Source organism: Homo sapiens, chromosome 6, assembly GCF_000001405.40.
Source record: "Homo sapiens chromosome 6, GRCh38.p14 Primary Assembly".
In the NCBI taxonomy this organism is placed as follows: domain Eukaryota; kingdom Metazoa; phylum Chordata; class Mammalia; order Primates; family Hominidae; genus Homo; species Homo sapiens.
In genome coordinates, this window is record NC_000006.12 from 76,788,187 (window position 1) to 76,804,397 (window position 16,211).

The 16,211-nt window shown below is 36.7% G+C and overlaps 1 long non-coding RNA gene across 3 annotated transcripts in view, besides 1 other annotated feature; it reads left to right on the top strand.

Moving 5' to 3' along the window:
- Positions 1-16,211, top strand: part of LOC105377862 (uncharacterized) — a 322,839-nt gene that overhangs the window by 13,237 nt on the left and 293,391 nt on the right. The gene's annotated exons all lie outside the window — the stretch shown is intronic.
- Positions 2,538-2,707: an enhancer, noted in NCBI's record as "experimental_94698 CRE fragment used in MPRA reporter constructs". NCBI's record gives its function as "activates a minimal promoter by MPRAs in K562 erythroleukemia cells, with activity observed for both the introgressed and non-introgressed 6:77500526 variant alleles {active_cell/tissue: K562}" and the evidence as "EXISTENCE:reporter gene assay evidence [ECO:0000049][PMID:34662402]".

Genomic DNA, 16,211 nt, shown 5'->3' on the forward strand with positions numbered 1-16,211 from the left:
TATGTACTCTTAATATGATATAATATGAGGTGAAGGACAGTTCTCTTTTATCTCACTCCTCAAAAGTCAAAACCCAGTCTAATCATGAGAGAAACACCAAACAAATTCTTATTGAGGAGATACTCTACAGAGTATTCAACCAGTACTCCATAAAATGTCAAGGTCATCAAAAAACAACAAAAATGAGACACTGACACAGCTGTGAGGAGCCTAAGGTGACATGATGACTAAATATAATATGATGTCCTGTATGAAATCCTGGAACAGAAAAAGGACATTAGTGAACAATATAATGAAAGTATGGACTTTAGTTAACAATAATGCTGCATTATTGGTTCATTAGCTGTGACACAGGTATTGCAGTAGTGTAAGATGTTAACAATAGTCGAAACTGTGTGTACTGTATATGAGTATCTTTGCAATGTATCTGTAAGTCTAAATTTATTTCTGTAAATCTAACTATGTACATCTATTATAACAATTTTATTTATAAGTTATGCATAAGGACGTGTTAGAGAGTATGTCCTCTGACTTTGAGATACTTTATTTCTTTTTTTCTAGTAGGTCTCCTAAAGACTTTAGTTAGACTTAATTCTTTACAGAGTAAAAATAAAATCTATAAGAGTCTATCACTTTGCTAAACCTCATGAATATCTGTTGGTATTGCTCATGGTTTTGTTTCACAGAATGTTTCTAAATGGCATGTTAAAGGATAGTGTGAGATGTTGTATTAGTCTGTTCTCACACTGCTATAAAGAAATACCTGAGACTGGGTAATTTATAAAGAAAAGAGGATTAATTGGCTCACAGTTCTGCAAGCTGTACAGGAATCATGGCATGACTTGCTTTTGGAGAAGCCTCTGGAAACTCAAAATCATGACAGAAGGCAAAGTGAGAACAAGCACATGTTACAAGACTGGAGCAGGAACAAGATGCTACACACTTTTAAACAACCAGATCTCATGAGAACTCTATGATGAGAACAGCACCAAAGGAGCAATCTGCCCCCATCATCCAATCACCTCCTACCAGGTCCCACCTCGAACATTGGGGATTACAATTCAACAGGAGATTTGAGTGGAGACACAAATCCAAACCATATCATTCTGTTCCTGGTTCATACCAAATCTTATGTCCTTCTCACGTTGCAAAATACAATTATACCTTCTCAACATTCCCCTAAGTCTTAACTAATTTCAGCATTAACTCAAATGTCCAAAGTTTCATGTGAAAAAACACCAGTCCCTTCTGCCTATGAGTCTATAAAATAAAAAACAAATTAGTTACTTCCATAATTCAATGGGGATACAGGCATTGGGTAGATACTGCCATTCCAAAAGAGAGAAATTGGCCAAGAGAAAGAGGCTAGAGGCCCCATGCAAGTCCAAAATCCAGCAGGGCTGTTGTTAAGAAAGCCCCAAAATATTCTCCTTTGACTTTATGTCTCACATCCAGAGCATGCTGATGCAAGGGGTGCACTTCAAAGACCTTGGGAAGCTCCCCGTCTCTGTGGCTGTTCTCATGGGCAAGTGTTGAGTGCCTGTGGCTTTTCCAGGCACATAGTGCAAGCTGTCAGTGCCCCTACCATTCTGGAATGTGAAGAATGGTGGCCCTCTTCCCACAGCTCCACTAGGGAGTGCCCCAGTGAGGACTCCGTGTGGGCACCCCAACCCCACATTTTCCCTCTGCACTGGCCTAGTAGAGGTTCTCCATGGGGACTCCACCCCTGCAGCAGGCTTCTGCCTGAACATCCAGGCTTTTCCATTCGCCCTCTGAAATCCAGGCAGAGGCTCTCAAGCTTCAACTTTTGCACTCTGAGCACCCTCAGGCTTAACACCAAGCAGAAATTGCCCAGCCTTATGGCATGCACCTTCTGAAGCACTAGCCTGAGCTGTACCTGGGCACCTTTTAATCAGGACTGGATATGGAGCAGCTAGGATGTGACGAGCAGTGTCTGAGGCTGCACAGGGAAGTAGGGCCCTGGTCCTGGCCCATGAAACCATTTCTTTCCCCTAGGCCTCTGGGCCTGTGATGGGAGGGGCTACCTCAAAGGTCTCTGAAGTGCCTTGGAGGCCTTTTTCCCATTGTCTTGGCTATCAGCATCGTGGTCCTATTTACTTAAGCAAACTACTTCAGCCAGCTTGAATTCCCCTTCCCGGCAAACATGGCCTTTCATTTTCTACCAAATGGCCAGGCTACAAATATTCTATCCTTTTATACTCTGCTTCCCTTTTAAATATAAGTTTCAGGTCCTTTCTTTGTTCATGCGTATGAGAATAGGTTGCTAGAAGCAACAAGGAAACATCTTGAATGCTTGCCTGCTTAGAAACTTCTTCCACCAGATACCCTAAATTATCACTCTCAAGTTCAAAGTTCCACATATCCATAGAGTAGGAGCACAATGCTGCCAAGTTCTTGGCTAATGAATAACAAAAGTGACCTTTGCTCTGGTTCTCAATAACTTCTCTATTTTCATCTGATACCTTCTCAGCTTGGCTTTCACTGTCCATATCACTATCAGCATTTTGGTCACAACAACTTAACAAGTCTCTAGGAAGTTTCAAATTTTTCCTCATCTTCCTGTCTTCTTCTGAGTCCTCCACACTCTTTCAACATATGCCTGTTACCCACTTCAAAAGTTGCTGTCACATTTTCAGGCACCTTTATAGGAATGCCTCATTCCTTGATTCCAATTTTCAGTATGAGTCCATTCTCACACTGCTATAAGAAATACCTGAGAATGGGTAATTTATAAAGAAAAGAGGATTAATTGGCTCACAGTTCCATAGGTTGAACAGGAAGCATGGCAAGATCTGCTCTTGGGGAGGCCTCAGGAAACTCAAAATCTTGGCAGAAAGCAAAAGGAGAGTGAGCATGTCTTACATGACCAGAGAAGGAGTAAGAGGGGAGATTGCTACATAGTTTTAAACAACCAGATTTCATGAGAATGTGTCATGAGAATAGCACCAAAGGAGGAAATCTGCTCCCATGATCCAATCACCTCCTACCAGATCCCACCTGCAATATTGGGGATTACAATTTAACATGAGATTTGGGTGGGGACACAGACCCCAACCATATCAGATGGCACATTGACACCCGGTGCCAAGACGTCAAGGGAAGGCACCTTCTCTCTCTACTCCTCAATGCCATCAGGTTAACTTCTGTTAATTCTGGCTGTGGAAACTTGAGGAAGATATAGAAACACATAGGACTTAGAAAAAGATGACCAATTCGCATTCTTTTTCTTAAAGTAATTCCCTCTGATTCTTTGTGGTACATCAAATATGTTTACACCTTTTTCTAGCTGTCATAAGCTGAAATCTGAGGTGGAATATCAATGTACCTATATGCACCATTCGCCATATCTAAGACCATCTGGAGTTAGTTCTAAAGACTGTTTACTGCTTACACTACTCATGAGAGAATTACCACTTTTACCTGTCCCATGTGTATTAAACTGTTTTTGCATTGCTATAAATAAATACCTTAGACTGGATAATTTATAAGAGAGAGACAGCAGTGGGGAGGAGGCGGCACACATTTATAAATGACCAGATCTCATGAGAACTCATTTGCTATTACAAGATTAGCACCAAGGGGATTGTGCTAAACCATTCACGAGGAATACTCCTCTATGATCCCATCACCTCCCACCAGGCATCACCTGCAACAACGGAGATTACATTTCAACATGTGATTTGGGAAGGGACAAAGATACAAACTTGATTACCATGTTTCTTCAGTACAGGCTTCTAGTACTTTTTGGTGTCCATCACACCCTTGAAACCTTTTAGCCTCACCACTGTATATGCATTGTCAGAATTTATGTGGGTTAGACTAAATAACTTTTGCTAAGCAGATGCTGGTGTACTTGTAAATTTAGGTTTCCACATCTGAATATAGAGATAAATCCCCAGAAGTTACTCTGTTCTGTGGCCAGAGATGTGTTCAGTTGAACATTTAAACCACTGATTTACATCAATTACAGATATGATTTAAAGAAGGGTACACTCACAAGCAGGTCTGCAATTCTGAAGCAAATCTCTTCCTGTGCTGGAGCAGTGCATTAACTTACAGTTTCCACAGTGCTGCTCTGTTCAATTGGTTGCTTCAATCAGGGTCTCTGCATGGGTTTCTGAAACAGAGTTTAATGTCAGGATGAGTTCATTACTTGTGATCCATTTTCTAATCTTCCTGACTACTAACCCATTTCCTCAGGTTAACTTCTTAAAGATTATGTCTCTCCCTGTGTAGGAGTATATCTGTCTGTGGGCAGCCATACAACACCCTGTGTGGTTTCTGAAATGGGAGGATGGTTGCGAAGGGTTCAGCTTCTCTGCCTGAAGGCATCCCTGTGGAATTACATCTTGCAAAAAACATGAGTCTCTGAGGGTCTAGAATACATTTATGTGACACACATCAAAAGAATGATAGCAAGCATTGCATAACAACAGACAGGCATTCACAATGAGACTGTTAGATTGCTGAGGACACTGATTCATTTTTCACATCATCCTTTCAGAAATAATAGTATGAATATTTATAATTGCCAAAATGCTGTTATTTAGGAATTTAAATAAACAACTAGTATTTATTGTTAGCACCAGTACAGTTAGTGTTATAGCAAAACTATTTTACTTAATCCTTGCTACAATTAACAAGTGTTAACATTCCTCATTTATAGATAGGAATCAGTCTCAGCAAGGTTGGGTAGTGTGTCTGTGATCTCACTATTACGGGCAAATATGGGGATTGAACGCAGATACATTTTGACTCCACCCTTACTCTTTAGCTTTGCTTTATTAAAACAAAGTAGCCAGTAACAAACAAATGAGCAAACAAAAAACAAAATAGGAGGGTTAAGCCAGGTGTATTCAGATACCTTATGTGTTTGTAAATATTTCTCTTTCTATATAATTGTCAGATTAGAGGGTCATGAGTAAAATCTTTGATAGAGAGGAAGAAGGACAGAGAACGGAATGAGAAAAGAAATTCTAAAATAAATTCAGATTTAAAAAATAGTTGTTTGCCTAACTCACACATTATAGTGTTAAAGGCAGTATTTTATCAATAAAATATAAATTCATGAAGAAAACTGATGCTGGGAGAAAAGAGTCCAGGAAAACAAAGACATTTAATGCTGAGAATCTAGGTTTAGGGTTCTAGTGCAAATCAAGAGCACTTTTAGGAAAATACCAAGATATCAACACAACCCAGAAGATGGGCCAATTACAATAACTACTTAGGTAACTGCTGTAGGATTAAACCTGGAAAAAATAACCAAAACTAATACTGCTGGATAGTTCAAGCTGAAAACAAAGAACAACTGCGAATTTTTAGTAAGGAAGATACTTTGCAGCATAATCAACAGAAGTTTCTGTTTAGCTGCCTGCAAATAACTGATTTGAAATAACTTGTTTTTCATGGGCTATTGAGACTGAGATGGTTCTGAAAGATGTCTTCTCTGAGGGAGTCCTAATTTGGCTTATTCACAGAACATTTTAAATGGTTTTTGGACATGGATTACAAATGCAATCACCCCACTCTTATAAACAATATCTAGGATTATCTTGGTACTATGTCTGTTATTGAAAGTGTCTCATTTTTTTTTCTTTTGCTTTTTTAGGATGACATTACAATATGGTATGAGATAGGGACATAAAATTTTCTTTCTTAAATTGTTGCCCATTAACTTAATTATCACTTGTTGAGTAATCTGTCTTTTCTCTACTGACATTTATCGTACTTATCAAATACCATACATTGTACATATGTAGACATATTTCTATGTCCGGTGCCTTTGCCACATCTATATTTATTGGGGCCAATGAAACACAGTTTTAATGATAACATTTTACATGTGCCTTTTACCATCCAATAGCGGAAGGCATCTTTTCACAATTGTATTTGTCTATTCCTAATAGTTTATTCTTTGTGATAAATTTCAAAATCATTTGTCATTATGTGAATACATTTTTTTAACATTCATGGTATTCAAAGCCAAAGATATTAAAAGGTATACAGTGAAAATTCCCCCTCCAGACTTGTTTGCCTGGTTTCCATGCCACCTGCCTCCTACAAAAAAGTAAGCCCTAATATTTGCTTCATATGTATCCTTCCAGAATTTCATTTTTATGAAAAAAGGAACTACTTATCAAGATATTTTTATTTAACAATATACTTAGGAATATCTTCATTTTAATGTATTGACAGCATCTTTATTCTTTTTTATTATTTGATTGCATTTTATGGATGTACTGTAATTTATATAACCAGTCTATTATTAGTGGACAGTTAATGTTTTGCCAAATTTCTGCTCTTACAAAGAATACTACAGTGAGAAAACTTGTACCTGCACAAATTAGCATAAGAACAAGTTTGTCAGTAGAACAATTTATCAGAAATACTTGTTGGGTCAAAAAGTACAAGTATTTATAATTTTGATAGTTCTCACCAAATTGCTATATAAGGTCACACAAATTTATAATCTTCACAGCAATGTATGAGGATAGCTGTGCTGTAACAACATTGTGTACTATCAAACTTCTGACTTTTTGCTAATCTGAACATGAAAAATGACATCACATTTATATTTTTCCTACTATGAGTGATAATAATCATCTGTTCACATGTCTAACAGTCATTATACTTCTTTTTTTTAAAGCAAACTATCTATTTATAGTCTATGATCTTTTAAAAATCTAGTTCTTCGATTTTTATTGGAAAATTTTCTAGGAGCTCTGTATAAATATAAAAACAATATACTCTGTGATATGAGTTAAAGATATCTTCCCCCAATTTATTATTTATTTTTGGCTTGACTTTTTTTCAGATTTTAAAATGTAATTAAATTATATCAGTCAATTTTATGGATTCTGAGTTTGACTCATTGTTAGAGAGGCCTTTTCTTCTTTAGTTATAAAGAAATTTTACGTTTATTTTTTATATTTTCATTATTTCATTTTAAAGTATATATTATTGATTCTTTTAGAATTATCCCCCATATGACTTGAAGTATAAGTTCAATATTTTTTTGCTTAATTTTCTATGAAATTAGGGGAAATATGAAATTATAAAATTCTCAATTCCTTTTTTTTTTACTGATTTTATATTCTACTTTGATTATATATTAAATTCCCACTTAGAGTCTATTTCTGGGCTTTCTATTCTAATTTCATTGGTGTAGCTACTTATATGCATTCCTACTGCTTTTACTGTTGAGATTTTATAATACATTTGAGCATCTGGTAGTGTCTGTCCCCCATTGCTCTTTTTCCAGAGACTTTTCTATATATTTTGCTTATTTTTCTATATTTTATGATTATTTACTTCCAAAGAATCCTCTTTAATAAGCTTGAATCATAATAAAGTTATCGATTAGGAATAATGACATAATGTTGCTGTTGGAAGTTTCAAACAAGAGCTTGTTATATTCTTCCACTTGTTCAGGTATTCTACTGTATCCTTTAGTAGTATTTTAAACTTCTCTTCATAAAGGTTTTACACATTCATAGTTAAGTTCCTTTCTTGGTAATTTATATTTTTATGGCTACTGGAAATTGAATGTTTTTTCTACATTAAACTCTAACTGATTATATTAATGACACTAGTCTCTGTATGTCAATTTTATGCCTATCTTACTGAATTCTCTTACAATTTGTCATATTATCTGCGAATAGTGTTAGTTCTATCTCGTTCATTTTTTATAGCTTTAGCTTCTTTCATTTTACTTCCAGTAAATGTCAAATAATAGCAGTGGTATCTGGTATCTTTTTCTTTATTTAATTAGAAAATTTTCTAGTGTTTCTCCCTAAAGAATAATACTGGGAATTGGGCTAAATCAAATACATATTTTCATGTTGGAAAACAATCTATAACTTTTCACTGAGTTTAAAAAATAACAATTACAATATTGAGTGAAACTGAACTAATTTAACTATTAGTCTCAGTAAATTAAATATTTGCATCATGAAATACAGCATACCTTCCTATTGGCTAAGTATTTTATGTTCTTCAGTAAAATTTTCTGGTTTATTTATTTGGAGGTTTCATTAGGATACCAGTAACCTCTTTGTCTTGATATCCAATATCCATACTTAAGTCTTCATTTTACTGGAATGTTAACCAGATTTTGATACTCTTCTAAATTCTCTTTCTTAAAACATTCTTTTCTCTGATCTAAAAATGGCTTTCTCTATTGTTTTTCTTCTAGTGCCTCTGAGTACTACCATGAATTTCTGCTTAGTTTTTTATATTTGTTTTCACTATGGTAAGCAGGATCTTTTTTACTATACTTTTTCAACTGGTTCTAGTGGACAGGTGCTAAAAGAACTGTGATCCTAGTGAAAGATTTTTCTGAGAGTTTTTTGTTTGTTTCATTTTAGTCTTTCAATTGCAAATAATGTTAAACAATGCTTGAGACAATAAGCACACTACTGTTAGTTCTTAAAGTGAGTAATTGCAGTGCTTTACCATCAAATATAATGATGTTGCTGGCCTGTCATTATTATTCTTCTATGTTTTATAAATATAATTTCTTTAATAATGGGATCTATTTCTAGACTTTCTGATATGGAAGATAATTACATCTTTTCTAATGGTGAGATAACCACATATTTCTGTTCTTTTTTTGGTATACTGTATATTTTCTTAACGTTAATTTTTTTTTGTTTCAATGGTTTTTTGGAGAACAGGTAGTGTTTGGTTACATGAATAAGTTCTTCAGTGGTGATTTCTGAGATTTTGGTGCACCCATCACCAGAGCAGTGTACACAGTACCTAACATATAGTCATTTGTCCCTCTCCACCTACCACCCTTTACCCCAAGTCCCCGAAATCCAATCATATCATTCTTATGCCTTTGCATCCTAATAGCTTAGATTTGACATATGAATGAGAACATGCAATGTTTGATTTTCCATTCCTGAGTTACTTAGCTTAGAATAATAGTCTCCAATTCCATCCAGGTTGCTGTGAATGCCAGTATTTCATTCCATTTTATGGCTGAGTAGTATTCCATGGGGTGTGTGTGTGTGTGCATGTGTGTGTGTGTCTGTATATCACATTTGCTTTATCCACTCATTGATTGATAGGCATTTGAGCTGGTTACATATTTTTGCAATTGCAAATTTTGCTGTTATTAACATGAATGTGCAAGTATCTTTTTTATATAATGACTTCTTTTCTTCTGGGTAACACCCAGGAGTGGGATTGCAGGATCAAATGGAAGATCTAGTTTTAGGAATCTCCACACTGTTTTCCATAGTGGTTATACTAGTTTACATTCCCATCAACAGTGTTGCCTGTTCACTGCATCCACACCAACATTTATTATTTTTTGATTTTTTTAATTATGGCCATTCTTGCAGGAGTGAGGTGGTATCGCATTGTGGTTTTGATTTGCATTTTCCTGATAATTAGTGATGTTGAGCATTTATCCACATGCTTGTTGGCCCTTCATATGTCTTCTTTTGAGAATTTTCTAATCATGTCCTTAACCCACTTTTTGATAGGATTGTTTGTTTTTTTCTTGCTGATTTTAGTTCTTTATAGATTCTGGATATTAGTCCTTTTATGGATATACAGATTGTGAAGACTTTCTCCCACTCTGTGGGTTGTCTGTTAACTGCTGATTATTTATTTTGCTGTGCAGAAGCTTTTAGTTTAATTAAGTCCCATCTACTTATCTTTGTTTTTGTTGCATTTGCTTTTGGGTTGTTGGTCATGAAGTCTTTGCCTAAGCCCATGTCTAGAAGGGTTTTTCCAATGTTATCTTTTAAAATCTTTACAGTTGCAGGTGTTAAATTTAAGTCTTTGATCCATCTTGTGTTGATTTTTGTATAAGAGATGAGGATTTAGTTTCATTCTTCTAGATGTGGCTTGCCATTTACCCAGCACCATTTGCTGAATAGGATGTCTTTTTTTTTCCCACTTTGTGTTTCTGTTAGCTTGGTTGAAGATCAGTTTGATGCAAGTATTTGGCTTTATTTCTGGGTTCTCTATTCTGTTCCATTGGTATATGTGCCTATTTTTATACCAGTACTACGCTCTTTGGGTGGGTATGGCCTTATAGTATAGTTTGATGTTGGGTAATGTGATGCCTCCAGATTTACTCTTTTTGCTTAATCTTGCTTTAGCTATGTGGGATTTTTTTTTTGTTCCATATAAATTTTAGAATTATTTTTCTAGTACTGTGAAGAGTGGTGGTAGTATTTTGATGGGAATTGCATTGAATTTATAGATTGCTTTTGTAGTATGGTCATTTTCACAATATTGATTCTACCCATCCATGAGCATGGGATGTGTTTCCATTTGTTTGTGTTGTCTATGACTTCTTTTAGCAGTGTTTTGTAATTTTGCTTGTAGAGGTCTTTCACCTTTTTGGTTAAGTATATGTCTAAGTACTTTTTTTGCAGCTATTGTGAAAGGAGTTGAGCCCTTGATTTGATTCTCAGCTTGGTGGCTGTTGGTGTATAGCACAGCTACTGATTTGTGTACAATTAATTTTTTATCTTGAAACTTTGCTGAATTTATTTACCAGTTCTAGGAGCTTTTTGGAGTCTTTAGGGTTTTCTATGTAGACTATCATATCATCAGCCAACAGTGACAGTTTGACTTCTTCTTTACCAATTTGGATGCCCTTATTTTTTTTTTTCTCTTGTCTGATTGCTCTGGTGAGGACTTCCAGTACTATGGTGAAAGTGAGCATTCTTGTCTTGTTCCAGTTCTCAGGGGGAATGTTTTCAACTTTTCCTCATTTAATATAATGTTGGCTGTGGGTTTGTCATAGACAGCTTTTATTACATTAAGTTATGTCTCTTCTATGCTGATTTTACTGAGCATTTTAATCATAAAGGTATACTGGATTTTTGTCAAATACTTTTTCTGCATCTACTAAGATAATCACGTGATTTTTGTTTTTAATTCTGTTTATGTAATGTATCACATTTATTTTGTCAAACCATCCCTGCATCCCTGTCATGAAACCCACTTGATCATGGTGGATTATCTTTTCGATATTCTGTTGGATTCAGTTGGCTAGTATTTTATTGAGGATTTTCGCATCTATGTTAATCAGGGATATTGTTGTGTAGTTTTATTTTTTTGTTATGTCCTTCCCTGGTTTTGGTATTAGGGTGATACTGGCTTCATAGAATGATTTAGGGAGGATTCCCTCTTTCTCTATCTTTTTGAATAATGTCAATAGTATTGGTACTGATTCTTCTTTGAAAGTCTGATGGAATTCAGCTGTGAATCTGTCTGGTCCTGGACTTTTTTTGTTGGCATTTTTAAAATTACCATTTCAATTTCACTGTTACTGGTCTGCTGAGAGATTCTATATCTTCCTGGTTTAATCTAGAAGGGTTGTATATTTCCAGGAATTTATCCATCTCCTCTAAGTTTTCTAGTTTATGCACATAAAGGTGTTCATAGTAGCCTTGAATAATATTTTGTATTTCTGTGGTATCAGTAGTAATAGCTCCCATTTTGTTTCTAATTGAACTTATTTGGAGCTTCTCTCTTCTTTTCTTGGTTAATCTCATTAATGGTCTATCAATTTTATCTATCTTTTCAAAGAACCAACTTTTTGTTTCATTTATATTTTGTATTTTTTTTGGTTTCAATTTCACTTAGTTCTGCTCTGATCATTATTTCTTTTCTTCTGCTAGGTTTGGGTTTGGAATGTTCTTGTTTCTCCAGTTCCCCGAGGTGTGTCCTTAGATTGTCTATTTGTGCTCTTTCAGACTTTTTAATGTCGGCATTTAATGCTGTGAACTTTCCTCTTAGCTTTTGCTGTATCCCAGAAGTTTTGATAGGTTGCATCACTATTATCTTTCAGTTCAAAGAATTTTTTTGAATTCCCATCTTGATTTCATTGTTGACCCAATGATCATTCAGGAGCAGTTTATTTAATTTTCATGTATTTTCATGGTTTTGAGGGTTCCTTTTGGAGTTGAGTTCCAATTTTATTCTACTGTGGTCTGAGAGAGTACTTGATATAATTTCGATTTTCTGAAAATTTTTGAGACTTGTTTTGTGGCCTACGATATGGTCTGTCTCAGAGATTGTTTCATTTGCTGATGAATAGAATGTATATTCTTTAGTTGTTCAGTAGAATGTTCTGTAAATATCTGTTAAGTCCATTTGTTGTAGGGTATAGTTTAGGTCCATTGTTTCTTTGTTGACTTTCTGTCTTGATGACCTCTCCAGTGTTGTCAGTGGAGTATTTAACTTCCCCCCTATTATTGTGCTGCCATCTATCTCAGTTCTTAGTTCTAGTAGTCATGGTTTTATAAATTTGGGAACTTCAATGTTAGGTCCATATATATTTAGAATTGTGATATTTTCTTGTTCAACTAGTCCTTTTATCAGTATATAATATCCCTCTGTCTTTTTTTCTTTTTTTTAAGACGGAGTCTTGCTCTGTCACCCAAGCTGGAGTGCAGTGGTGCGATCTCAGCTCACTGCAACCTCCGCCTCCAGGGTTCACGCCATTCTCCTGCTTCAGCCTCCCGAGTAGCTGGGACTAGTGGTGCCTGCCACCACACCCAGCTAATTTTTTGTATTTTTAGTAGAGATGGGGTTTTACCGTGTTAGCCACATTGGTCTTGATCTCCTGACCTCGTGATCCACCTGTCTTGGCCTCCCAAAGTGCTGGGATTACAGGTGTGAGCCACCTCACCTGGCCCCCCTCTTTGTCTTTTTTAACTGCTGTTGTTTTAAAGTTTGTTTTGTCTGATATAAGAATAGCTACTCCTGCTTGCTTTTGTTGTCCATTTGCATGGGATATCTTTTTCCACCTCTTTCTTTTTTTTTAGATGGAGTGTGTTGCTCTGTCACCAAGCTGGAGTGCAGTGGTGTGATTCGGCTCACTGCAAACTCTGCCTCCCAGGTTCTAGTGATTTTCATGCCTCAGCCTCCTGAGTAGCTGGGATTACAGGCATGCACCACCACACCCAACTACTTTTTGTAATTTTTGTAGTTGTTATTTTAGCTGGGATTACAGGCATGCACCACCATACCCAACTAAATTTTGTATTTTTGTAAATTTAGTAAAATTTTGTAATTTTAGTATTTTTGTATTTTAGATGTGGTTTCACCATGTTGGCCAGGATGGTCTCAATCTCCTGACCTTGTGATCTGCCCGCCACGGCCTCCCAAAGTGTTGGGATTACAGGCGTGAGCCACCCTGCCCGGCCTCCACCTCTTTACCTTAAGTTTATGTGAGTCCTTATGTGTTAGTTAAGTCTCCTGAAGACAGCAGAAACTTGGCTGTTGAATTCTTATCCATTCTGCCATTCTGTATCTTTTAAGTGGAACATTTAGGCCTTTTACATTCAGTGTTAGTATTGAAATGTGAGGTACTATTGTATTCATCATGCTATTTGTTGCTTGAATACTTTGTTTTTTTTTTTCCGAAGTGTTATTGTTATATAGGTCCTGTGAGATTAATGCCTTAAGGAGGTTCTATTTTAGCATATTTTAAGGATTTGTTTCAAGATTTAGAGCTCCGTTTAGCAGTTCTTGTAGTGCTGGCTTGTTAGTGGCAAATTTTCTCACCATTTTGTCTGGAAAAGACTGTATCTTTCCTTCATTTATGAAGCTTAGTTTCGCTGGATACAAAATTCTTGACTGATAATTGTTTTGTTTAAGGAGGCTGAAGATAGGGCCCCAATCCCTTCTAGCTTATAGGGTTTCTGCTGAGAAATCTGCTGTTAAACTGACAAGTTTTTCTTTACAGTTTACCTAGTGCTTTTCCCTCACAGCTCTTAAGATTCTTTCCATTTTCTTGACTTTAGATAACCTGATGTCTATGTGCCTAGGTGATGATCTTTTTGCAATGAATTTCCCAGGTGTTCTTTGAGCTTCTTGTATGTGGATGTCTGGATCTCTACCAAGGCTGGGGAAGTTTTCCTTGATTATTCCCTCAAACATATTTTTCAAACTTTTAGATTTCTCTTCTTTCTTGGGAACACCAATTATTCTTAGGTTGACATTTAATATAGTCCCAATCTTCTTAGAGGCTTTGCTCCGTTTTAAAAATTATTGTTTCTTTGTCTTTGGTGGATTGGGTTAATTCAAAAACCTTGTCTTTGAGCCCTAAGGTTCTTTTTTTTTCTGTTTGTTCAATTCAGTTGCTGAGACTTTCCAGTGCATTTTGCATTTCTCTAAGTATGACCTTGATTTCCAGAAGTTGTGATTGTTTTTATTAATGCCATCCATTTCACTGAAGAATTTTTTTTTTCATATTTGGTATTATGTTTTTGATTTCTTTAAGTTGGACTTCACCTTTCTCTTGTGCCTCCTTGATTAGCTTAATAATCAGACTTCTGGATTATTTTTCTGGCAACTCAGAGATTTTGTTTTGGTTTGGCTCTATTGCTGGTGAGCTGATATGATCTTTTGTGCATGTTAAATTACTTTGTTTTGTCATATTACCAGAATTGTTTTTTGGGTTCTTTCTCATTTGGGTTGACTATGTCAGAGGGAAGATCTGGGATTCAAGGGCTGCTGGTCAGATTCTTTTGTACCATGGGGTGCTCCCTTGATGTGGTGTCCTTTCCCTTCCCCTAGGAATGGGGCTTCCTGAAAGCCAAATGGTAGTGATTGTCTTTGCTCTTCTGGGTCTAGCCACCCAGTGAATCTACTGGGCCCTGAGCTGGTACTGAGGAGTGTCTGCAAAGAGTCCTTTGATATGATCCATCTTCAGTTCTTGCAGCCATAGATACCAGCAACTGCTCCGGTGGAGGTAGCAGGGGAGGAGGGAAGGGGACTCTGTGAGGATCTTTGGTTGTGTTTTTGTTTAGTGCACTGGTTTTGTGTCGGTTGACCCCCAGCCAGGAGGTAGCACTTTCAAGAGTGTCTCAGCTGTGGCCCTATAATGAGGATGCAAACTTGCCATAGGAATACCTGGTTAAGTATTCAGGCTTATCAGGTGTTGGGCAAGGCCATAGAGCTCCCAAGAGATTATGACCTTTGTCTTCAGCTACCAGGGCAGGTAGAGAAAGTGCACCATGTGGGGACAGGGAACGGTGTGTTTAAGCTCCGCCTCTCCTTGGGCAGGGCTTGCTGTGTGTGTTGTGAGGGAGGGGTATGTGGTTCCCAGGCCAATGGAGTTATATTCCCCAGGGGATTATTCTGCTTCTGCTAAGTCATACAGGTCCCCAGGGAAGTGGGGAAAAGCTGGCAGTCACAGGACTCACCACTCCCATGCAGCCCATAGTCCTAAGGCCAGTCTCACTCCCATCGTGCCCCACCCCCCGAACAGGACCGAGTCTATATTTCCAGGCAGCTGGTAACCAGGGCTGAGAACTTGCCTCAGACTACAAGCCTCTCAGCTGAGAAAGCAAGCAGACTCACAGGTTTTCAGCATCCCAGGAAGCCTCCAGCAGTGATCTAATTCCTTCCTTTGAAGGGTCTGTGGATTCTCTTGGCTTTCCTAGTATGTTCCCACAGTAGTTCTTGTAACAAAAGTTCATGATATGAGTCTCCACATGCTGCTCTGTCTATCCAAGCAGGAACTGCAAGCTAGTCCTGCCCTCTCTCTGCCATCTTAATCCCTGTGTTCATATTTCTTTTTTAATTTCTCATGTTAATTAGATCAATTCTCGTAACAGATGCATTGCAGAAAACAATGTTGCTGAATTGTGGTAAATTTGTTCTTTAATATATAGCTAAATTTTATTTGTAAATATATTATTTAGAATTTTAAAATTCATAACCTTTAAGGTAGGCTTATAATTTGTACTTTTGTGCTAATTAGTTGTAGTGTTTAATTTTGTTATTTTGCAAATACTTAATTGGCACCACTTTGCAGCAGTCATTATGCTGTGTATCAAGAGTACAGTGGATATCAAAACTAATGTGGTTTCTGAGCTCACAGTGTAAGGTACAATTGGAACCACGGCACATTTTACAAAACAGTTTACAATGTCATAAGAGGACAAAATAAGAGAATTTGACATAGTATGGAGTTTCTAAATGTTTAAGATGTCTTTTCTAAGGAAGTGACAATTGAGTGAAAGCTAAAAATTGAGTAGATGTTAATGTGTAAAAGGATTGAAGGGTCAGGAAGAACCCCATGATTACAGATTCTGTGGCAGGAGACACTAGGGCACATAGAATAAGAGAGAAGGTAGTGCATCTGTGGTGCAAGTGGCAAGCTCTGGCAACTCTTTCAGGTGTTACTTTTGATGTTTACCTCCATA